Source organism: Homo sapiens, chromosome 14, assembly GCF_000001405.40.
Source record: "Homo sapiens chromosome 14, GRCh38.p14 Primary Assembly".
Lineage (NCBI taxonomy): Eukaryota > Metazoa > Chordata > Mammalia > Primates > Hominidae > Homo > Homo sapiens.
In genome coordinates, this window is record NC_000014.9 from 40,399,166 (window position 1) to 40,425,714 (window position 26,549).

General features: G+C 36.0%; 1 long non-coding RNA gene across 1 annotated transcript in view; it reads left to right on the plus strand.

Annotated features, from left to right (window-relative positions):
* LOC105370465 (uncharacterized) overlaps positions 1 to 26,549 on the plus strand; it is a 46,310-nt gene continuing 19,761 nt past the window's right edge. Inside the window, exon 1 of the long non-coding RNA XR_001750926.1 lies at positions 1 to 211. This is a non-coding gene — a long non-coding RNA (uncharacterized LOC105370465). The remainder of the gene's footprint in view (positions 212 to 26,549) is intronic.

Sequence of the window (26,549 nt, forward strand, 5' to 3'; positions counted from 1 at the left end):
CAAAAAAGGTGATGCAATAATAGAACAGAATGACTGAAACTGTAATGATAAGAGTAGGGGCAGGCTGGGCCATAAAAGGTAAGGAGAGTAGAAGGGAAAAAGTGACTGATGAGTCCATGGAAGAGAGGGCCAAGAAAGAAGGATCCACAGAAGAATGAGGCCATCCAAGGAACTGAGCGAGGGATGACTGCCTGTGCCCAGGGAGGAGTGAGTGAGTCCACCTGAATTTCTTTTCTTTTTTTTAAATTATACTTTAAGTTCTAGGGTACATGTGCAAGGATCTAGAACTAGAAATACCATTTGACCCAGCCCTCCCGTTACTGGGTATATACCCAAAGAATTATAAATCATGCTGCTATAAAGACACATGCACACCTGAATTTCATAGAGGAGTCAATCCAGATTTCACACCCAGAAGCCACTTCTATTAGTTTGGAGTTGGGAAAGTTTCCAGTAGCATGGTTTATGATTTATTGTTTCAGGGTAATTGTTTTTGATGATGAAGGGTAAAATAACTCCATTATGAAACTTTCAGATCCTTCTTTAGAAGTAGTATTGTATTAAAAATGAAACAAAATGAAACAAAACCTCATACCAAATGTCTATGAAGCTGTAGGCTTCTGTCTTCCTTAATAGCTTCTAAATGGTGCTGATTACAGAGGAGCTCTCTTCATGGGAGTTTTTAGCCTATTAAGAACGTGTGGTGCTATACATTTCAATATTGCTATGAGAATATATTTCTAATATTCTCATAAAAAATTTTAATATTTGAAGTAATGATGTAGAAATTAGCTTAATTTAATCATTTCATATTGCATTGAAAAGTATAACACCACCATACACTTAATAAATATATGCAACTATAATTTGTCAATATGTAATAAAAAGAAATACATTTATTCCTTTAAAAGTATGTGTACATGACTATTCTTCAAGTGACAGTCTAAGGGAAGAAACTCAAGCTCTTTGGCAACAAGTTAAATCTAGAAAAAACAATTTCCAAGCTTCTGGGAATCATCAATACATATATTAATGTGTTTATTATGTCTCAATTATTGTTAATGAAGTGGAGGTATATACACGTAGACATTTTCAAAGAAAAGTGCTTAAATTATTTTACAAAACATGGAATATGTTAACATTATTCATATCAAAATTAAAAGCTATGAAAATAATCTTTAAAAAGTATGCTAATCTCAACTAAGACAATATAACAGGTTTCTTTCCTACAAATAATAGAAATTCACTATTTTGTAAATTGTTTAGCTTGTGGAAATCACATAAAAACTTTCCAATAATTTTACAAAATTAATATGTTTATCAAAATATGATAACAGAGTAAAAAGTAGGAATCAATAGAAAAGTTTCACCGATGAATAGTTGTAAAAATCTTGAACATTGTTATAGCAAGTCAAACCAGCATTTTATCAAAACAACTATACCAAATGCAAGCAGTGCTTACTCCAGTATTACACAGATGTATACAAACAAAGGAGCTGTTATCTTTAACCTAAATTTTTGCCACACAGATGAAAATATCAGCAGTAGGAAAATGTCAGTACAGAAAACCCTCTGCATATGTAACAAAATATATGTATGCATATATAGAGACATAAAAACACATTTTTCTTTAATACGATCACAAAATTTGTGCAATGAAATTTAATATTTTATTGAATTTAAAGGGAGAAGTTCAGTGGGCATAGCTTCAATTCATGTTGCTGCTTTTCTTCTACAGGAATATTTCTAAAATCCTGTAAGAAAGAGACATCTTGAAAAATAAAATAATAATGGAAAATATTAAGAATTTGAAGTTAGTTATTTATGCTTTAGAAAATGTCTATTGAATTTTTGCTCTGAAACATAAAATTTGGAACTGGTTAAAATATGTAATGTAGAAATTAGTATTATGATTAATACTAGTTAATATCAGTGTTGATATTATAAATTAGTTAATTCCAATAGAATAATGGGAAAAATCTATAACATATTCTAAGTGAAAAATATAAAAGTGTTATCAATAGTTCGATAACCAATTAATTATATAATGTTTTTACTGGAAAGATCTAAAGAAAATAATATTCTTAATTTGACAACATTTTTGTCAGGATAGCTGGTCAATTATTTTTCTTTATCTTCTGTGAATGTATCCTCTTTATTTCTACAATGAATACGTCTATTGTTTATAGTAGTAAAATAAGTTTTTAACGTAGGTACAGTAGTATTCCAAGTGTGTATGTGTGCATATATATATATATATATGTGTGTGTGTGTGTGTATATATATAGCCCCACCCCCACTTTATTGGTAACTTTTATCATTGGCCACCAAAGACACACCACCAGTAACATACCTGTAGTCAAACAAAGATAATTTTATTACTTACTGCATGGATGTTTCAGAACATGTTTTGGGGGACTTGTTACAGGATCTGGGCTTGGTTTGGTGATTTTGGCTTATATTAGGAGTTTTTGCTGGATTGGGTCATGTATGAAAGTGGTAGCAAATATATGATTGGATATTACTAATCTTTACATAGGAGGCAGAAAGAATGAAGATGGCCTAAAGTTGTAACAGGAAAAAGAAACCACAGTCACATATTTTAGGAGTGGGAGAATCTTGACCATTTTTGTGGTTCATGCTGAATTCTACTTTTTGACTGTTGAGGCACACTTATACAGTGATTTTGTTTTTATCTTGTTCATTATTGGTACAGGGTAACTTTAAATTATTTTTGTGTTTGAAATTGTAGGAACATCATAGCCTAGCTCTTAGTGCTAGCTGTCAAGGTTGCTTTTTTCTTTCCCCATTGTTTATTGTGGGGATGTTGTTCTTAAAGTGTAGGCACTATACTGCAGCTTAGCATCACCTGAGAAACTGTTTGAAATGTAAACCCTCAAGCCCACCCCAGAAGCACTGAATCAGAAACTCTGGGCATGGAGCCAAACTATCTATCTTTTAACAAGCCTTTTGGTCCAGGTAATTCTAATACTAGCTAAAATTTGAAAACCTGTTGCAATGGTTAATCACCTTGACTACACATTAGCATCCTCTGGGGAATGGGGGCTTTAAAATCATACTGATGGCCAAGACCAATTCCTGTTTAATTGCAGTCAAAAATATCGGAGCATGGAACAAAGATTTGGTAATTTTTAAATGTGCCTTAGCTATTATAATGTGCAACCTTGTTAGAGAACCTCTGTTCTATCCTATTTGGGTAAAGGCAAAAAGAAAATGAAAACAGAAAGCAAACCCACAAAGAAACAAAAATACATCGCTTCCCCCCCTCCCCTTTCTGTGTTCATCCACAATGGTATTGTTCCTATTGGAGAATAATTTTGAAATGTTAATTACATTTGAAAATTCACATAACATACAATTTAGCAATTCCATTTTGAAATATATGCCATAGATAACCTCTTACATGGGCACAAAGTAATCTATATATGAATATTCATCTCATCACTGTTTGTACTAGGAAAGAATGTAAATACGATACAGTCCACAGCTGAGAGATGGATAAATTGTAAGATGTTTATAAAATGCTACACAATCCTGTGGTTAAAATAGACTGTATCAACTATATCAATGTGGATAAACCTCAAAACATAGAATGATGAGTGAACACAGAAACACAAAAATATTACATGTAATTTTAGTAAAACTTAAAAACCTTGAATAATGTTGGATGTTGTTATAGATACAATGTATTGTCCAGTACTAATCTGAAAGGAAGCACACAAGTAATTTGCACAGCTTCAACAGAGGCTACTTACTTACATCTGTGGGAAATAGAATGGGGATAGAATTCTGGGAATTTAAAAAATATCTGTAATATTTTATTTCTCTAAGGAATAAGTGAAGCAATTACAATAAAGTGTCACATTTTAAACATTAGGCTAGAGATTACCACTTGGAATTCTAACAATACTGTCCTCCTTCAACCCAGTGCTGACACTGCCAAGCTGACTCACTTCTTCTAAAGCTTCATCTATTAATTCTGCATTGACCACAAAGCTGCATGTTTAATAATGCCTTTGAAAATAACTAGATAGAATTTCAAGAAGAAAAAAAAAACAAGGCAAAACTGGAAGCTAAATGTTAGCTATGACTGTTTCTGAACTCCAGGATCAGAGAAAAAAAAAAAAAAAGCAAGAATCTTCATGCAGGATGTCCTAATGGGTAAACTGTAGTATCTCATCTTGTCTCTCAAAATTGAAATTCCTTCTATGAGCATTTTCATGCCTGCTCACCCGCTTTAGGAGAACCTAAACTTCTTCCCATAGGAAACAGTTTCACCCTGAGATTTTCCCCTAATCCTCTCTCTACCATCACTCCTCCAGTCATACAATGTTAGTTACCATAATCCACAAGGGCAAGACAGGGTTGAAGTAGGGTAGTGCTTCAGGTCACAGGGAAAGTTTTGGCAGAATTGTCTATGGTGAGAATTGCCACATTATATTCAACATTCTTTGAGTTTACTCAAGCAGCATCCTGTGAAAGTATGTTCATTCATTCATTCATTGAATTTCCGGGTTCTTAGGAAAAACTGTTGGGCAACACATATACTGTCATGTGCACATGCAAATATACAAACCCAAGTGAAAACAATAATTTTTCTTGGTAATATTATAGTCAAAATTTGTGTTAAGGAAAATAAACATTTCTTGGAGAGATAATAGAATATACTCTGCCCAAAACGGAGATAGCATTTTACATTGTTATGCAGATAATTTTCATTGATATTTTCTCTTTCTTCTTTCTCACTCCATGCATTGAATTACACTGGGCAAAAATAATGTCCTAGGACTGTACCATTCATCCACAATTACTCCCATTTACAATATAAAAACAGGAAGAGTTTTAAAATAAATATTTGTATTTAACTTCAACCAATTTTTAGGATGACTTTACTTCCAGTTTTTACCATTCCATCTTATTGGTAGAAGACTAGAGTGAAAAAAAATTATTCTTTTTCTAATTGTTAAACAATTATTAGGCTGCAATTACTTTTACACCAACCTCATGTTTGAGATTTTAAAAGAAGCATAATTTTTACAAATAAAGAGAAAATACGTTCCCATAAATATGAAAGAATTATGATTTTCATTTTCTTCATGTCCTACGTTTTTCAAGTTTTTAAAATAATATGCATATATCTGGCATCAGCAATAAAAATAAATGTTACCAAAATAAATTTTAGACAATCCAATCAAAGGTATATATTAACTTATTTGAGATTTATTTTTTTAATTTTATATAAACAAATAGTTTTACATATTTATGGGGTACATGAGATATTTTGATACAAGCATATAATGTGTAATAATCAAATCAGGATAATTTGGATATCCATAACCTCAAACATTTATTATTTCTTTGTGTTGAGAACATTACAAATCCACTTCTCTAGTTACTTTGAAATATACAGTAAGTCATTAACTTATAGTTGCCCTATTGTACTATTGAACACTAGATTTTCTTCCTTCTACCTAAGAAATAAAATGTATTTTTGTACCCAGTAACCAACCCCTTTATATCCCTGCCTTCCCAAGACCCTTCCCAACCTCTGGTAACCATCATTCTACTTTCTACCTCCATGAGATGAATTTCTTTAATTCTCACATATGAGTGAGAATAGGTGATATTTGTCTTTCTGTGCCTGGCTTATTCCACTTAACATAATGTCCTCCAATTCCATTAAAGTTGTTGGAAATTACAAGGTTTCATTCTTTTTTATAACTGAAAAATATTCCACTGTGTATATGCACCACATTTTCTTTATCCCTTCATATTTTGATGGACACTTAGGTTGGTTCCATATCTTGGCTAATGTAAATAATGCTACAATAAACATGGGTGTGCAGATAGTTTTTTAATATACTGATTTCCTTTCTTTTGGATATATAACCAGCAATGGAATTGATGGATCATGTGGTAGTTCTATTTTTAGTCATTTGAGAAGCCACCATAGTCTTTTTCATAGTGGCTATACTAATTTACATTCATACCAACAGTGTACAAACATTTTCCTTTCTCCACATCCTCACGAGCATGTTATTTTTTGTCTTTTTATAAAAGTCATTTTAACTGGAGTGAAAGGAACAGAATGGGAGAAAATGTTTGCAAATGTTTCAACCAACAAGGGATTAATAACCAGAATATATAAGGAACTCAAACAACTAAATAGCCAAAAAACCAATCATCTGATATAAAAATGGGTAATAGATCTTAATAGACATTTCCTAAATGTCACTAATCATCAGAGAAATGCAAGTCAAAACCACAATGAGATTTTTAAAATTCTATCTGTATATCAATCACCATGCCAGTAAATATAGTTATAAATAACATATGGTCTTTTACCTTGTGGAGTTTGCATCTGAAGTTGTGGTAGACATATAAGAGAGACCAATCTCTTGTGGTAGACATATAAGAGAGACCAATCTCTGGTGCATATGAATGTCTCTGTTTCTCTCTATATTTGTTTGTTTCTTTATCTATAAACACTCTATTTATAAAGGAGTTGTTTTATAAAGAATAAAATAATTATCTTCTAAAAATATTTTTAAGAAAATTTTCAGGCTAGTGGACAGCTGATATGGAATAGTATGGGATTAAGGATAGTAAGAATCAGCCAACTATAGGAAATTTGAGAATGGCTTTTCAGGCATGAAAAGCATAACTATATGATATAGTATAGTATATGAATCCAAAAATTAGTATTTAAATATAGTTTTTATTTATTGAGAGAGGCCAGGACATTAGCTGTTCAGGTTGAAGAGATAAACACATTGAGAAAGTCAGACCATCATTGACTTTCTGAATTATTTAAGAGGTTGAACTTTATCCATTATGGAAGAGGACTTTAGAAGGATTTTAATCAGGATAATTAGGTGAGCAGGGCTGTACTTTAGAAAAAGGCAAATATCCTTTGCAAAGCTTCTGTCTATATGAACAATTTGATTGAACAGAATTTCTGGTAAGACATAGTTATTTAAAATAAAGGAGCGAAAATAGATACTTATGATTGTGAGGGGAGGCCTCATAATCATGGTGGAAGGCAAGGAGGAGCAAGTCACATCTTACATGGATGGCAGCAGGCAAAGAGACAGCTTGTTCAGGGAAACTCCCCTTTTAAAAACCATCAGATCTCATGAGACTTATTCACGATCACAAGAACAGCACAGGAAAGTCCCAACCCCATGACTCAATTATTTCCCACCAGGTCCCTTCCACAACACATGTGAATTATGGGAGCTACATGATGAGATTTGGGTGGGGACACAGAGACAAACCATATCAAACACCATGGTTTTGGGGACACGTTTAACTGAACAATACAGGTCTTCTCATCACTGCAGTTCTCTAACACCATCGATTTAATGCAGGTTATATCATGAGTCATGGCACTACATCATTTATCACAAATGCTGGCTTCCAATGACTGTTCCAACGTTGTTATTCTGCTTAGTTGATTGGATCTACAAATGCAAGTCTTGCAAGGACAATGCAGCAAAATATGAATGATGATTTTTTCTGGTCATGTTAAATCCTCTGTCCATCATTTTATGGTGTAAACATAAAACTATGTCTTCCTTGAATTCTTTAGGTTCTTATCAGTGAATTCTTAGACTATGATCTCTTTCAAAGTTGCTGAAAGTTGCTTTTCACATACTGCTCCTAGTGGGGAAGATAGGAAAGGGGCCTGTGGCCAGAGTGAGAATGGTATCATTTATGTAGCATTGCTTATAACTGACCTGAGGGAGCAGAGAGCAGGAAGGTGGACATAGGGCAAATGACACTTGATACCACTCCTGATACCTTCATGTTCTGTAGACTGGAGGTGGCACCAGCATGGGAAGGATGACAGGAAGGAGCTGATTCACAGGCCTACACAGAGTTAAGCTAAGGGTCATTTGTAGGCTGATGATATCCTCTAAGCTCTGGTACCCTGAATTCATCCTGTGACCAAAATGCATGAGAATCACTAAAATCAGTTTATCAACACCATTCTGGTAGCCTCATTTCACATGATCCCATGAAACAAATACCTTACATCCTAGTGGGAACAATCTGCTTTGGAATTTGAGCCCCAGAATGACTCCAAAGTCATGAGTCCCTAAACTCTTTGGGGGTAACTGGTTGACCCCACATGTATTAGTCTGTTTTCACACTGGTATAAACACATACCTGAGACTGGGTGATCTATAAAGGAAAGAGTTTTAATTGACTCATTGTTCTGCATGGCTGGGGAGGCCTCAGAAACTTACAATCATAGCAGTAGGGGAAGAGGCATGTCTTACATGGTGACAGGCAAGAGAGTCAGTGAGGAGCAAAGGGAGATGAGCCCCTTATAAAACCATCAGATCTTGTGAGAACTCAGTCTAACGTGAGAACAGCATGGAAGAAAATGTTCCTATGATCCAGCCACCTCCCACCACTAGAGAGACCACTAGAGGTCTATAGCCACATGAGGATTATGGAGATTATAATTCAAGTAGAGATTTGGGTGGGAACACAAAGCCTAACCATATCATTCTGCCTGTGGCCTCTCCCAAATCTCATGTCCACACATTTCAAAACCAATCATGCCTTTTCAATAGTCCCTCATTCTTAACTTGTTGTAGCATAATTTCAAAAGTCCAAGTCCAAACTCTCATCTGAGACAAGGCAAGTCCCTTCTGCCCAGGAGCCTGTAAAATCAAAAGCAAGTTAGTTACTTGCAAGATACAATAAGGGTACAGGAATTGGATGAATGGTCCCATTCCAAAAGGGAGAAATTGGCCAAAACAAAGTGGTTACAGGCCCAAGGCAAGTCCAAAATCCAGGAGTGCAGTCATTACATTTTGAAGGTCAGAAATGATTTCTTTTTACTCCATATCTAACATTCTGAGGCACACTGATGCAAGAGGTAGGGTCCCATGGTCTTCGGCAGCTACACCCCTGAGGCTTTGCAGGGTGCAGCCCCCCTCCTGGCTGCTTTCACAGCCTGGCATTGAGTGTCTGTGGCTTTTCCAGGTGCACAGTGGAAGATGTCGGTGGATCTACCATTCTGGAGTCTGGAGGACAGTGGTCCTCTTTTTACAGCTCCACTAGGCAGTGCCCCAGTGAGGGCTCTGTGTGGGGAACTGACCCCACATTTTTCTTTCACACTGCTCTAGCAGAGGTTCTCCATGAGGGCTCCACCCCTGCCACAGACTTCTGCCTGGACATCCAGGTGTTTCCATACATCCTTTGAAATCTAGGCAGAGGTTTCCAAATCTCAATTTTTTACTTCTGGGCCCTCTCAGGCCCAACACCATGTGGAAGCTGTCAAGGCTTTGGGCTTGCACCCTCTGAAGCCATGGCCCAAGCTGTAATTGACCCCTTTTAGCCACAGCTGGAGCTGAAGCAGCTGGGGCACAGGTTTCCATGTCCTGAGGCTTCACAGAGCAGGAAGACCTTGGACCCAGCCTATGAAATTATTTTTTCTCCTAGGCCTCTAGGCCTTAAGAGGGGCTCCTGGGAAGGTCTCTGGCATGTCCTGGAGACATTTTACCCATTGTCTTGGTGATTAACATTGGGTCCTTGTTACTTATGCAAAATTCTGCAGCTGACTTCAATTTCTCCCCAGGAAATGGGTTTTTCTTTTCTAGCACATCGTTAGGCTGCAAATTTCCAAAATTCCATAGCAGAACTTTAATGTTCTGCTTCCCTTTTAAACACAAGTTCCAATTTCAGATTATCTGTATCAAGTTGAAAGTTGCACAGCAGGGACAAAATGCCACCAGTCCCTTTGCTAAAGCATATCAAGACTGACCTTTGCTCCAGTTCCCAGTAAGTTCCTCATCTCCATCTAAGACCACCTCAGCCTGGACTTCATTGTCCGTATCACCATCAGCATTTTGGTCAAAACCATTTGACAAATCTCTAGGAAGTTTCAAACTTTCCCACATCTTCCTTTCTTCTTCTGAGCCCTCTAAACTGTTCCAACCACTGCGTGTTACCCAATTTCAAATTCACTTCCACATTTTTGAGTATCTTTATAGCAGTGCCCCACTAGCTTTGTACCAATTTACTATATTAGTCAATTCTAACATGGGAAATAAAGAAATACCCAAGACTGGATAATTTATAAAGGAAGGAGGTTTAGACCGGATGCAGTGGCTCACACCTGTAATTCCAACACTTTGGGAGGCTGAGGCAGGTGAATCACTTGAGATCTGAGAACAGCCTGGCTTACATGGTGAAACCCTGTCTCTACTAAAAATACAAAAGTTAGTCGGGTGTGGTGGCACCTGTCTGTAATCCCAGCTACTCAGGGGGCTGAGGTGGGAGAATTGTTTGAACCTGGGAGGCGGAGGTGACAGTGAATCGAGATCACACCACTGCACTCCAGCCTGGGTGACAGAGAGACTCTGTCTCAGAAAAAAAAAAAAAAAAAAAAAAAAAAAAAAAGAGGTTTAATTAACTCACAGTTCTGAATGGCTGGGGAGGCCTCAGGAAACTTACAATCACGGTGAAAAGTGAAGGGGAAGCAAGCTTGGACTTTCTCACATGGTGGCAGGAGAGAGAAGAGTGAGCAAAGGGGGAAGATCCCCTTATAAAACCATCAGATCTCATGAAAACAGCATGGGGGAAACCATCCCCATTGTGAGAAAACATTTTAAATGGTCCATTTTCAAGGCATGATACATCTAAGTACTGGTGGCCAGACTGCGAATGTAACAAACCACAGAGCTCATGCACCTAGAAGGTCACAATAAGCAAACAGAATGTAGAGGAGGGGTCAGCCCATAAAAGGGAAACAAGTTTTGTTATTGCAAAATTGAAACTTAATCAGGAAAGGGGACTCAGGAACAACCTTATAAGTGAGATAATGAAACTTAGGTGATATCCAGGAAGATTGTAACCCCATAGTACTCAACCAGTGAGGAACTGGGGGAGGGACTTGTGTGCTAGGAAATAAATTACCTGTTATGACTGCCCTGTGTGTGCCTGCCCCCGGCCCCGATCTTGCAAGATGGTTATTAAAAAGTCTCACTTTTGCTGTTCTTAGTGCCTCTAAGTCCATTCTCTGGGTTTGGATGGGCGAGTGTGTTTCTCACACCCATGATCCAATCACCTCCCATCAGGTCTCTTCCTAGACATGTGGGTATTATGGGGATTACAATTCAGATTTGATTTGGGTGGGGACACAAAGCCTAACCATATCACCATGTTGTGAGGGATGTGGGATGAGGAGCAGGGTACGTTTAGGGTTGAAGAGGAAAACTGACTGATGCTTAGGTGGGCAATAGTCTAGTCTCTAGGCACTGTGCTGGATGGGATTACTGACCCGGTCAATCCCAGCCACCAGAGGAGGATCTAAACATTTTAACAAAAGCCTCTAAAGCATGGGGCCCCTAAGGCATAAGACCCATGGTAGGGGCCACACTTTCACATTCTAAGGGTGATACGGACCACTTGAATTAATTAGACAAGTGATAATGTGATGACATTATGTTAGGACAACATAACGTATATTAAAAAGGTACAATTTATATTTTTAATTTGAAATGACAGAGTGAGGGAAGTCTGAGTAGTTTTTGGTTTATGTCTTAGGTAGATCTGTGTCTGAGGAGGGATTTATTTGGATAAAAGCAAAATTTGGGTGGGACAGACAATAAATTAATATACTATCAGATAATTGTGTGATTTCACCTTTATCAAATCACTTATTATTAAACCTGTGTGTAAACTAGTCACCCAGGGATTGTGCTGAATTGCAGATTCTAATTTAGTAGGTGTGTTGTGGATCCCAAAAGTCTATATTTCTAACAAGCTTCCAGATGATACTAACTTTGCCAATTGAGGAACTATATGTTGAGTAGCAGAGAGCTAGACTATGGTTCTACATATTAATGGATTAAAGACCTCCTAAATCTCCTAAGAAGGGATATAATCTTATAAGAGGAATTAACTTATTGCACCCTTTCCTGGTGCTGTTTCCAGACTGTCAATTATCTTTTCCTATCTCAATTACTCACTGATAATAGAAGCAATCATCCTAAATGGCATGTATAATAATGGTTCTTCCATACATCTAAGTATTCACTATGAAGTTGTAGTTATCTATTACTACAAAGGATTCCATCTCAAAATTTACTGTCTTAAAACATCAATTTATTACTCTTCATGATTCAGTAGGTTGACTGGCTTGTTCTTTTGTTTCATGTAGTGTGAGATGGGGTGATGGGGTGGTGGGGAGCTACAGTCATCTGGAGACTCAACTGGCAGCTGGGCTGACATTCACGACCACGATTCTCCACTTGGCTGCTTGGGTGGCCTCATAGCATGGTGGCTAGATTTCAAGAAGGAGCAAAAGAGCAAGCATCCTAAAGAAAATAAGGTATAAGAAAAAAGTTAATAGGCCAATCAAGGGCTAGGCCAAGAACTAGCATAGTGTTATTTCTAATATTTAGTTTTGGTTTGTTTGTTTTAAATGTCGAACAGTTACAGTGGTGGGGGGTGAAATACATAAGGTTTGAAATAGGGGCAGAATGGTTAACTGGGAAATCATCAAAGTAACAGTCTACCGCAGATGTTTAGAGAAATGAAGGCAGTTATTGAGAAGTTGATCGAGTTTACCTTTTAGTTAATTGTCATTTCCTTTCTAACATGTCATTTCCTTTCTAATGATCAAATACCAGCTATTTGATCATTAGAAAATGAAATGTGATTCTCCTGTTTGAAAATAGGCATAGAAAACAGCAAAAGAGGCAAATGAAAACAAAAAGAATGTAAAGTATGCAGAAGAGCACATATACATGTGTGCCCACAAAAACAAAAATAAAAACTAGAACTGTTTTTGTTCTATCCCCTTTGTGACAAAAAAAAGATGTTCTACGTATAATACCGTAACGTTAATTTGCTATAAGTCTATGGGTCTCTGAAACTCTGGTTATAGCATCTTCTTGCTTTAAATTTTCAAAGAGCCCATTCAGTTGACACTTTATATCTAGCTCTTGAGGAGCTGCAGTCTGAAATTTTATGCAGCAGTTTCTTTCACACAATCCTTAGGCCCACTGTGGTTTAGTAGAATTAAAACTTAAATAGAGTTGAAATGTAATTTCTTGAACATTTTCTAACTCAAGTAAATTCGAAAACATAAATAAAATTTCATGGAAACAATATATGCTGAAACAGTAGCAATATTAAGCTAAACACTTTTTTCCAAAGAAGTAAATTGCACAATTGTAATCAGTTTCAAGAAGTGTTGAGAGAAATAAAATTCCATCTAATAAATCTGTGACAAGACAAATTCATACAACTGATTTCCTCTCTTTTTTTTCAGTGTACTGAGATTCTCAGATACACATAATAGTAAAAAAAAAAAAAAAAGACTCTAAAGGAACATTTACCTAAACGGGTTTTTTTGTTTTAATGCCTGATTTATACACAGAACAAGCATAGCAGATTCCTTAAACAGCTGTATTGGGAATAGCATAAGATACAATTTTATTTATTGTAGAACAGCTGTTTAGATTTTAATGGCTATCACATTTTATTTGTTTTTAAGTATACTCTAATAGCAGCAAAGAAGAATTCTCTGTGGTGTCTATGATAGTTAAACATGTTTATCAATGTTTTATAAATAGAGGAATATCTTTCCAATCACTTATATATTTTTTAGAAACTTTAATTCAACATAATTTTTAAGTTTTAGAGGGAAATACGAAGATAGTACAAAGAGGCCTTGTATATCCTATGTCCGATTTTTCCCATTGTTTACATTGTATACTTCTGTGGTTCATTTGTCAAAACGAAGAAATCAACTTTGGTATTTTAACTAAATTACAGAGTTAATTTCAATTTTACCAATTTTCCATTAATGTTATCTTCCTGTTGTAAGAACTAATCTAGAATGCCACATTGCATTTAGTTATCATGTTTTTCCAGTCTCCTCTGGTCAGTGAGACTTTCTCAGTCTTTTCTGTTTTTTTTAAGACCTTCAATATCTGGGGCAATACTGACCAGGTATTCTGCAGGATGTCCTCCAATCTAGTTGTTTTTAAAATGTTTTTCTGATGATTATACTCAACTTATGGGTTTATGGGAAGAATACCACAGAGGTGAATTGCCCTTCTCATACCATATCAGGGGCTACATAATATCCACATGATATCACTGGAATGTTAAGCTTCATCACTTGGTTAAAGTATTGCTTGCCAGGTTTTTCCACTTGTAAAGTTTTCGTTTCTCCCCTTACTTAGTCTATCCTTTGAAAGCCAGTTACTAAGTCAAGCCCAATCTCGTGTGTGTGTGCGCGTGTGTGTGTGTGTGTACCTAAGAACTTCACTTCTGGAAAGGGCAGCTTCTACATGTATTAAAGGTAATTCTTCTGTAAGAAAGATTTATCTCTTTTCTACCATTTAATTATTTATTCAGTCCTTTATATTATATACATTTATTTTATATTGGTTATACTTTAATACTAGGTTATTTGTTTTCTTGCTTACATTGTTCCAGCTTTGGCCATTGGTTACAGTTGGTTCCTTTGTCCTCTAACGTGTCCTCATCACTTTGTATTTTCAGAACTTCCTTACCTTCTGGTCCTACAAAATGTACCAGGTTCATGTTGCATTTTCTATGCCTCAGAGCTGGAATCAATTACTACTCCAAGGAGCTCTGGTTTCTTTTTTTTGAGAACGGTATTTAGAAACTAACATCTAGACACTGAGTGTGCTTATTGCTAGAGCGTCATTGTTTTTAGACCTTAACCACAAACAAATTATTATGTATAAATTTAATAATCTATGTGAAAACATAATTGTTTTGATATCTAGCTATCGGTCCATATATTAAACTAAACTTTAGTTCATACTGATATCCTTGACTCTAACTTAGTGCTACAGAGGTCATTTCAACCTTCCTTTCTTGCTTGTGCATAACCTCCTTCTCTAAAAACAAAACATTGAACTAAATTATACTTTAGTTTTAAATGTGAATTTAAAATTTATCTCATATTTAATAGTCTTGGGATCACCTGTGAGTGACACATTTCTTACACAGAATATAAGATTCACTAACTAATAAGACATATTTATCCCTTGAATGTATTATATCATATTCATATGTAGCTTGTTAATTTAAAATATTTTATCATTAATATAAGTACCAGCTGTGCTTGGCATGTAAGAGAGGAATATAGCAAGAGGCTAAAAATAATTGTGAGTAAATAATCGACTTAATAAAATTGTCCTCGTGTGTACTGTGGTTATTTGAAGCTGTAGATCAGTGGTATTCAACCACAGTGGCATGAAAAATCACTTGGGGAGATAAAAAATGCTGTTTCCTGGTTATCACATTGAGAGAATCTGATTTAATATGTTTGGAGTTCAGAATGGTCATAGGAATTTTAAAAGCTCTCCAGGGAATTCTGATGTGCAGCCAAGGTTGAGCCTAGATTCAGAACTTCTCCTGTATTTGGCTATATTAATGCTGATTGCAGCATCTCCATGCTGTCTTGTTTTCTAAATGGATAGATTCCAAGGTAAACAAACTGTGAAACAGTAATATGTATTTGAGTTTGGACAATGGGGCACACCGTATTGTTATAGCAAATGCAGTCATTGCAACACCACTGTAGCAGTGGTGGACATGTAGGTACCTATGTCTGCTCCAAACCAAAAAACACCTCTAGAAATTTAGAGATATTCCTTTATATATATACTGTGACCCAGTGTTATAAACAGAATTGTGTCCCTTCCATATTTATGTCTTGAAGTGCTAGCCCTTCAATGTGACTATATTTGGAGACAGAGCCTAAATATGTAAGTAAGGTTAAATGAGGTAATTAAGATGAAGTTAAGGTTAAATAAAGGTGGGTCCCTAATGCATTTGGGCTGGTGTCTTTATAAGAAGAGGAAGAAGGATCAGGAATGTGCATGCACAGAGAAAAGGCCATGTGAGAACACAGCAAGAAGACTGCCTTATGCAAGCCAAGGAGTAAGACCCTACAGATACCAAGACTGCTGGCACCTTGATCTTGAACTTCTAAGAAAATCAATTTCTGTTGTTTATGCCACCCAGTCTGTGATAGTCTGTTATTGCAAACTGATAGAACTAATACACCCAGAAATTTCACTTCTCAGGGTATAATCAATAGATATGATGTACATATTCAAGAAGTGTTCAAAAATATTCATGGTAGCTGTAGTCTTGTAGACCCTACTGGACACATCCCAAATGTCTAACCTTAAGTGTACAATTCAATGGGTTTGATACACAGACACAAAATCCATACTTTTTCACAATATAGATCATTTGCACCACACCTGAAAGTTCCTAAATGCACCTTCCTACTTAATGCTTTACACGCAGACTACGTCAATTAAAATTTTTTCACAATAGATTGGTTTTGCTTGTTTTAGATCATAATATAAATAAAGTCATAAAAGCATGGAGACTAGGACTACATACTTTTTATTGCCTGAAATAAGGCTTTTAGTATCTCAATAATGCTTTTACTAAAAAAATTCAATATTTTGACAAAACAGTCTATAAATATTTAGATCCATAAATGTAACTGCACAGAAATAAAATTTATACTTTTTTCTATAGTTACTTGTTTTCATACTTTGGGGCACATCTCCTTACCTTGATAGTGTAGGTATTTATCACGTGTTATCCTATGAATCTCAGTCACAACTCCACTATTCACTTTGAATTAAAATAATGCATCATTCTAACTTTAATCAGTGATTTACAGCAGGAAATATAAAGCATTTGTAGTTGATGATTTATTCCATTTAATAATATTCACTCTGCGCAGGTATGGTTGATGCTTCCTGTGTTTCTAAGTGTTCATTTGGGACAAATTTGGATGTCCATACTATCTAAACTCAGTGCATTTAAAGGTATATCTGGAAGGCATTAAGAAGTCAGTGGATTTGCTATAAAAGAATGCAGTCCTTACAAAATCAGAAGAAAAGTGGTGCACTCTTAAAGTACCCTTTTTCCCAGCACTGTTACTTTTTACAAGGCGTACTTCTAGTGCTTTAAAGTACTTACCTTTAAGTTTTGACCAGTATTCAGTTAAATAAGTAGTCATAACAATAAATAGTACATAAAAATACAAATTTAGGATGCCAGCTACTCTCTCACTATATTCTAAAATCCATGATCTATTATTTTTGCATTATTTTTAACTGAAGAAAAATAATAATTCTTACATGGTTTAATTATCATAGCCATACAAATAAATATTTTTACAGTAAATATTTGGTTTCTGTGTATACTCTGGAAATACAAATTTATACTTTTCCCTGGGTCTTGGAAATAATTTGCAAGTCTAGATATGTATTTAACACATAATAACTATCACTATGTTTATATACAAATGTTACAGGGTGTTAACTCAACTTTACAATCAGTGATGAGACATTCTTGATGATCTTGTAATTATTCAGATTATTGTCCAGCAAATATTTACTTCCTGTGCTCCCACTTAGGCAAAATGCACCTCCTCACCCCATTGATATGATAGACGATGTGACTTTCTTTGGCCTGTGGAATGTTGGCAAGTATGATTAAGTAGAAGCTCTGAATGTGTTTGTAATATATTCACATGGCTCTTGTGCTCCAGTCATCCTCCATGAGAAGAGAATGACATCAGTGGCTGTTACCTTTTAGTCTCTGTCTCAGAAAAAACACACGTGGAGCAGACTTAAACTCAGCCCACAGCTTGAATTCAAGTCCAAACAAACTGCATCTTGATGCAGAGCTGTGTGGTTAATCCCAGCCTTGATAAGCTGAACTGTGGTCAACCTGCAGATTCATGAATGTCAGTTTTCCAGGGTAGTGGTTGTGCAGCATTTATAATAACACCATCTTATACCTAGTTAATAATCGGTTATCAAGTGGCAGATACAGAGGCAAACTAGGACGTGATCCTTTCCTCTCAAATGCTTAGAATCTACTTGGTTGAAAAGCTAAGTGAAAATTACAGAAAACTCTGAGGAGGAAAACAAGAATTAGTTGGATCAGGATAGAGATAGCGGGTGTCCTTGGAAAACTATATAGGTGGGCTATTCTAGTTATGTATGCTAGGTAAGTAAACACCCTAAAACTCAATGGGCCAAACTACAATTTGTTGTTGTTATTTATGAGGGTTAAACTAGCCTACCTGAACAGTTCTCCACCGGGTATCTTATGGGAGTAACTGGATGTCAGCCGGAGCTATCATTTGAAGGCTTCGCCTAGCTGGATATCCAAAAAGTCTATTACATAATACTTGATGCTGACTGTTATGGGACTTCAGGTGGGCTCTCTGCTGCAGCACCTACACATTGTCTCTTTATGTGGCTTGGGCATCTCACAGCATGGTGGCTGAGTTCGGAGAGGGAGTGTCTCAAGGGCAAACATTTCAAGAGACCCAGGCTTTTTATGACCTAATCCCAGAAGTCTCAAAATGTCACTATTACCATGTTCTTGTCATCAAACAAATTACTAAAATCAGCCCAGATTGAAAGAGAGGGAACTTAGGCTGCAGTTGTTCATGTGAGAAGCAGCAAGTACCAACAGAACTAAAGAAATTGAAAGTGGCCATTTTCTAAATTTATTTACTACAGCGGCTTTATTTGATTAAATTTGGATAAACAGCTTTGTCTAGAGAGTGCCCATATTATTTTTCATCCATACTAGGACATGTTCGAGAGTAGAATAGACAATAAATATGAATACGTATCCTTAGCAAAACTGGGGTGTATTTTAGTGTGTTGATAACTCAGCTACTGCGTATTCTTATTCGTGCTTTATTCTGCCTGTGATGCTTAGGCTCTGCCATTAGGGGGCACTTGAGGGATGCCCAAAGGCAGGTGGAGTGAGAACAGACTTGCCCCTTTCTATTCCCATTGTTTTAGCAGTCTCATTAGAGGCAGTTGGTTCCAGTTTTCAGGTTTGGTTTTTCTATATTTCCGCAACCAGCTTCAATGCACTCTCTGGGATACACTAATATCAACATGTGGCACTTCTTTTTCAGAAATATGAGGCTGAGCTCTGAGAGGTCCCTTCTATAAGCTTCTAGGTTCTAATAATCCCAACGTCTTCCTTTTGTTCTCTGGACCCAAGAGGTATGACCTGCTCTTGTTAGTCCTACAATAGAATTCAACCAATTTCTTACATTAAATTCTCTGTCAGAAAAAAGGATGTAGTTCTGTTCTTCTATTTTCCTAATCTAATTGAAACCATTATCTGATATATTGGTTTTATTTTCCTAGCTTGAATAGGTCATATCAATCTAAAAGTTTTACTAAATAATCAGAACGACATTGGTCTCATGCTGAGCACTAGAGATGTTTTTAAAAAGCAAGAACCAATTTCTAGGGACATTAATATACTTCTTAGAGTGAAGTTGGAATCACTGACATTAATTAAATGGCAAAGCTTGGATTCAAATAAGTTTTATTACTGTTGTAGTATAACTCATTTACTTATTAATAAATATTGAAAGATTTTCCCTAATAACTCTATCAACTTATTTTACGACGTGTATATGCCTGTGGCTTCTTTAATATAGAACAAACTGATTTTCAGTATAAAGCAATCACGTGTTGCTTAATACGTCTGTAAAGGTGGCACTATGCTATTGTATATATCAAATTATTTCTACTTTTCTGTTATTGTATTAACATACAGGAAAGGGTGTTAACATAAAATATATGTATGTGCAACCTATAAGAGATTTGAAATGCATCAGTACAAATCCTGGGAGTAGCAAACAAATACAAAGTTTGCAAATGAATTTTGGGAATGTATATTCCACATAAAAGCTTATTTATAGCTAGTTTCAGCTATTCAACTCACACATGTGATCTAAGCAATGGATGTATTCTTCTGTAAAGCTAATTATTTGTGTTTAAAGAACCATGGAAAATATAGGTGAAAATTCTAATGTTACAATTTTTTAAAAAATTAATAGTCAAATTTAGTAGGTATTCATTGAAAAACACCACTAGAAATGCAGCACCTTTTTCATTCTCTAAAATTTTTAGTAGCACACCTGCTTTACCTAGTGCAAATTCCATGAATTTTAATGGTAGAAATTTTTCCCTCTGAGATTGCATCCTGATAGCTTTTGGGTTTTGTTTTCTCTCTTCTTTTTCAACACAACTAGAAAACATTCTAAGCCAGGTGACTATATGATTCCCTTTGTCAGAGAGGACACTTAGAGTTTGTGCCATTTTTTTCCCTCCCCTTTGATGGAGCCAGAATAGCACTGCAAATACACAACAAAAGTGTTTTGATGCCTCTTTTACAAAAAGTACTATGCATCTTTCATATGAGATCTGCTTATTTAAAAGCATTTTAAATTGATATTGTCAGGGGTCCTACTGTTAAAGTCTACCAGTTAATTATGCTATGGCAGCAGGACCTACCTACATTTTATAACAGATTCATTGACAGGAGGCACAGCAACATAATTTAGAAAAATAGAATCTAATGATTCTGTCTTTTTCAGTCAGCAGGAGGGGGGCTCCATGCAGACGCACAAACCTGTGTCTGCAAAGGTGCAAGTGATTTGTCACTCAACAGTTATAACTCTTTGGGAATATGGGCAGAGATTTGAGGGATTTAAATAATATAGAGGGATAGAAAAAGGTATTATTGACAAACAAAAGAAGACATATGTTTGAAAGGAGAGAAAAATAAAATGTTTCAGAAAGATAGGACTGCATTTGGGAATTGTTGCTAAAAATAATGTGTCTAATTTGAGTATTCTAGTCCTTTTGTTTTTATGGAGATGAATCATTTTGATTTGGACCTTTTTAATGTGGGTTGATTATAAATAAATGCTATGGTTTGAATGTTTCCCCAGAAGGCATGTGTTGAAAACACGTGTTGGTAATCTCCAATGCAACAGTGTTGGAAATCTCCAATGCAACAGTGTTGGAAGGCGGGGCCTAAGAGGAGGTGTTTAGGTCATGAGGGCTACACCCTCAAGAAGAATAAGAGTTTGATATCGCAAGTTCGAGTTTGACCTCTTGCTTGCTCTCACCCTCTCTTGTCCTTCTGCATTCTATCACCTGCCATGGGATGATGCAGCAAGCAGGCCCTTGCAAGATATGAGCCCACTGACCTTAGATGTCTCACCTTCCAAAACTATAAAACACAAATCTCCATTCTTTATAAATTTCTCAGTCTGGTATTCTCTTATAGGCAGCATAAAATGGACCAAAGCAATGAGAGCACATAGGTTGAGATTAAAAATACATATATATTATTTATTATAACTTCAGTAAAATAACATTTAGAAGTGTATTTTCTGATTGATATTTACCATCTATGTTTTACATGATTGATGGGAATCCAGGGACCAGAATACATTTATCATTAAACCCTATTTAAAAATCTGTCTTTATTCTTCAGTAATTCAGAAGGCTTTCGCAAACTTGCGGGTTGGCAAGGTTTTCTAGAATGATTCCTCAGTCAAAGTAGAGGTGAGAAGGACTGCTGATGAAAGTGCAGACTTAGGGTACCAATTTTTCTCTGTCCTTTCATGGAGCCAGAATAGTACTGCAGACACCCAACAAACATGTTTTGATGGCTCTTTCACAGAAAAGTGCTATGCATCTTCATATGAGATTTGCAGCATCATTCCTCTGAGATTTGTAGCATCACCACACAAGAGATACTCGGGATTCGTCTCTGGAAGCCTCTCACCCAAGAAATAGCCCCACCTATGTACTCAAACACCACTAATTGTGGTGATTCTGCAGACAATGGGTTTCCTGGTGGCCATCAGCATTCAGTTTGGCTCACTTTTTTTGTCTGCATCTTATCCATGATTATAATCACAGATTCAAATCTTAAAACTTAAAAAGGATTGAACTCAAGTGTAGCAAACAGGGGGCTACATTGAAACACTGTGAGTTCAGAGGATACCTCTTTGTAGAGCAAGGACTTTACAACAGTCAAAATTTGTTAGTTTTCATGGGTATTTTGTTTGGAATTCCTGTTCAAATAGCTTCAATAGAAGGAACAGCTTTTCTAATTTTTTTCTCAATAACTGGTCGGGCCTCGGGCCATTTAAATTAAACACTTCAATAATACTAAAAAATCCTTTTACTTAGAGAGTTCCACTCAAATAAAGCAACAGGTTTAGCTTAAATTTCTGTTCTTCACTGTGATACTTAGCTTATGGTACTTCAGAAAATACATAACCACATGTGTCCTTCTCCATCTGCTCCTGTCCACCACCCACAAAACATTTTTGCCCCATGTGTTAGTCTTTATTCTTAGCCTGTTGCTTTCCATCATAATCTATTTTCTTAAACTGTACTAGACAGGGATTCTATTGCTCCCTTCTTTGGTCATACTTTTGTATTATTATCAAGACCATGTAGAAATGGCAGTGCTGCAACATGAATTTTTAACTTTGGGGATTTTTCTTACCGTGGTACTACTTTCAAGGGGAGGGCTGTTTGATTTTGTTAGATAATTATTGAATTCCATTTTGTCTGGGAGTTTTCTTATGAATAAATGATGTTGAAAGAACATAAATGAGTTTGACCTGCAATGTTAAAGGAATGTTTAGTAAATATATTACCCCACATACGCTGTAAAAAAATCTCAACATGTCCTTTCAATAATTTGGGTGTTTCACAATGAAAATAAAAAAATTTAGGTTTCAAAAAAATCTGCAGTCTTTGGCCTTTATTATGTCTCTTCTTATTCAAAAAGAAAATATATTTTTTATAATTATGTGAAAGCATTTTTAAATGATTGTGGGAAAATTTACATATGGGACATCTATCCATCTATCTGTATGCTAATAAAAAATGGGCAAATCTGAGGATAACAAAATACATCAAAATAAGGCTTAATGCTATGAGTAAATAAAACATAACAAATGGAATTAAAATCCCCATAGCATACAATTGAGTCTCATTGCTTCAGAGAAAATTCCAACCCTTTGCAAGTATCTACCAGAAATTTTCATGTCGTGCTGAAGTTAATATTCAGGGAATGGTGTCTATATCCTTCTATCTTCAGCCTTATCACCTGCTTTCTGTTCCACTTAACTTTAAGAAAGTGTCTCCAGTAATATAAAGTTTGATATGCTTCTTCTAGAACACAATCAATTTCATTATTCTACATCCTCTGACACATATGAAAATATAATGGAAAGCAAACATAAAGAGAGAAAGACTCCCAGAATTTTAACCAAAATTCCTCAAGTGTAGTTTTGTCTTTGTTTAGGATAAGACTAATGGTATTTAAATGTACATGTCCTTTGGGTATATACCCAGTAATGGGATGGCTGGGTCAAATGGTATTTCTAGTTCTAGATCCCTGAGGAATCTCCACACTGACTTCCACAATGGTCGAACTAGTTTACAGTCCCACCAACAGTGTAAAAATGTTCCTATTTCTCCACATCCTCTCCAGCACCTGTTGTTTCCTGACTTTTTAATGATTGCCATTCTAACTGGTGTGAGATAGTATCTCATTGTGGTTTTGATTTGCATTTCTCTGATGGCCAGTGATGGTGAGCATTTTTTCATGTGTCTTTTGGCTGCATAAATGTCTTCTTTTGAGAAGTGTCTGTTCATGTCCTTTGCCCACTTTTTGATGGGGTCGTTTGTTTTTTTCTTGTAAATTTGTTTGAGTTCATTGTAGATTCTGGATATTAGCCCTTTGTCAGCTGAGTAGGTTGCAAAGATTTTCTCCCATTTTGTAGGTTGCCTGTTCACTCTGATGGTAGTTTCTTTTGCTGTGCAGAAGCTCTTTAGTTTAATTAGATCCCATTTGGCAATTTTGGCTTTTGTTGCCATTGCTTTTGGTGTTTTAGACAAGAAGTCCTTGCCCATGCCTATGTCCTGAATGGTAATGCCTAGGTTTTCTTCTAGGGTTTGTATGGTTTTAGGTCTAACGTTTAAGTCTTTAATCCATCTTGAATTGATTTTTGTATAAGGTGTAAGGAAGGGATCCAGTTTCAGCTTTCTACATATGGCTAGCCAGTTTTCCCAGCACCATTTATTAAATAGGGAATCCTTTCCCCATTGCTTGTTTTTCTCAGGTTTGTCAAAGATCATATAGTTGTAGATATGCAGTGTTATTTCTGAGGGCTCTGTTCTGTTCCATTGATCTATATCTCTGTTTTGGTACCAGTACCATGCTGTTTTGGTTACTGTAGCCTTGTAGTATAGTTTGAAGTCAGGTAGTGTGATGCCTCCAGCTTTGTTCTTTTGGCTTAGGATTGACTTGGCGATGCGGGCTCTTTTTTGGTTCCATATGAACTTTAAAGTAGTTTTTTCCAATTCTGTGAAGAAAGTCATTGGTAGCTTGATGGGGATGGCATTGAATCTGTAAATTACCTTGGGCAGTATGGCCATTTTCACGATATTGATTCTTCCTACCCATGAGCATGGAATGTTCTTCCATTTGTTTGTATCCTCTTTTATTTCCTCGAGCAGTGGTTTGTAGTTCTCCTTGAAGAGGTCCTTCACATCCCTTGTAAGTTGGATTCCTAGGTATTTTATTCTCTTTGAAGCAATTGTGAATGGGAGTTCACTCATGATTTGGCTCTCTGTTTGTCTGTTGTTGGTGTATAAGAATGCTTGTGATTTTTGTACATTGATTTTGTATTCTGAGACTTTGCTGAAGTTGCTTATCAGCTTAAGGAGATTTTGGGCTGAGACAATGGGGTTTTCTAGATATACAGTCATGTCATCGGCAAACAGTGACAATTTGACTTCCTCTTTTCCTAATTGAATACCCTTTATTTCCTTCTCCTGCCTAATTGCCCTGGCCAGAACTTCTAACACTATGTTAAATAGGAGCTGCTATAAAGACACATGCACACGTATGTTTATTGTGGCATTATTCACAATAGCAAAGACTTGGAACCAACCCAAATGTCCAACAATGATAGACTGGATTAAGAAAATGTGGCACATATACACCATGGAATACTATGCAGCCATAAAAAATGATGAGTTCATGTCCTTTGTAGGGACATGGATGAAATTGGAAATCATCATTCTCAGTAAAGTATCGCAAGAACAAAAAACCAAACACTGCATATTCTCACTCATAGGTGGGAATTGAACAATGAGAGCACATGGACACAGGAAGGGGAACATCACACTCTGGGGACTGTTGTGGGGTGGGGGGAGGGGGGAGGGATAGCACTGGGAGATATACCTAATGCTAGATGACGCGTTAGTGGGTGCAGCACACCAGCATGGCACATGTATACATAGGTAACTAACCTGCACATTGTACACATGTACCCTAAAACTTAAAGTATAATAATAAAAAAAAATACAGGTAAACTTAAGTTTGCTTCATGTTCAAGTGTCAATACATATGGAAAAAAAATAAATGTACGTGTCACAATTTAAATTCTGAATGTTTCTTTATATAATAAGAAAAATACTAGAATACAACATAAATGATGGGCCTGCATTTTCACATCCAGGCAAATATTTTCATAAAAAGGTAATTTTTTTGAAAAGTGCAATAGGGTGGCTGGCTTATAAAACATAATTATATTACTATTGCTTTTCAATATGACTATAATAACAGTCATACAATTTATAAAGAACCCTATCAGATCTGCAAAAGAAATTACATAGGAAAAAGTAAAACCTACAAAAAAGTCAACTAACACTTAACTTAAAATGATAAAACTATCATTTTAAGGAGACGATATAATGAATGGGAAGAAAATTCCTGGTTGCAGATTTCTGGTGAGTTTTATGTATATACTTAGTTAGTTTATAGCATCTAGTTATTCAATCAAATACTCATCTATGTGTTGGTGTGAAGGTACTTTGTAGATGTGGTTAACATCTACAATCAGTTGACTTTAAGTAAAGGAGGTTTTTCTTGATAATATGGTGGGGTTTGTCCAATAAGTTGAAAAGCTTTAAGAGCAAAACTGAGGTTTTCCTCAGGAAGATAAACTCCCTGAAGACTACAGTGTCACCTCTTGCCTGGGAGTTCTAGGCTGCCAGAATGACCTATGGAGTCCATAAGCCAATCCTTAAGCATATGCTAATTCCTTGAAAAAAACATAATAAATATGTGTATCTCCTTGTATATCCTGCTTGTTCTATTTGTAAGGAGAACCTTGACTGATATTGTGTTAGTCCATTCTCACGCTGCTAATAAAGACATACCTGAGACTGGGTGATTTATAAAGGAAAAAGGTTTAATTGACTCACAGTTCAGCATGGTTGAGGAGGCCTCAGGAAACTTGCAATTATGGCAGAAGGGGAAGCAAACATCTTTTTTTCATGAGGCAACAGCAAGAAGAAGTGCTGAGTAAAAGAGGGTAAAGGCTCATATAAAACCATCAGATCTAGTGAGAAATCACTCACTATAGTGAGAATAAAATGAGGGTAACTGCCTCTATGATTAAGTTACCTCCCATGGGTCCCTTCCACAACACGTGGGGATTATGGGAACTATAATTCAAGACGAGCTTTAGGTGGGTACACAGCCAAACCACATCAGACATGACATAGCAGTGTTTAGTAGTGTGATGATACTAATCTATCCCAGAAATATATACA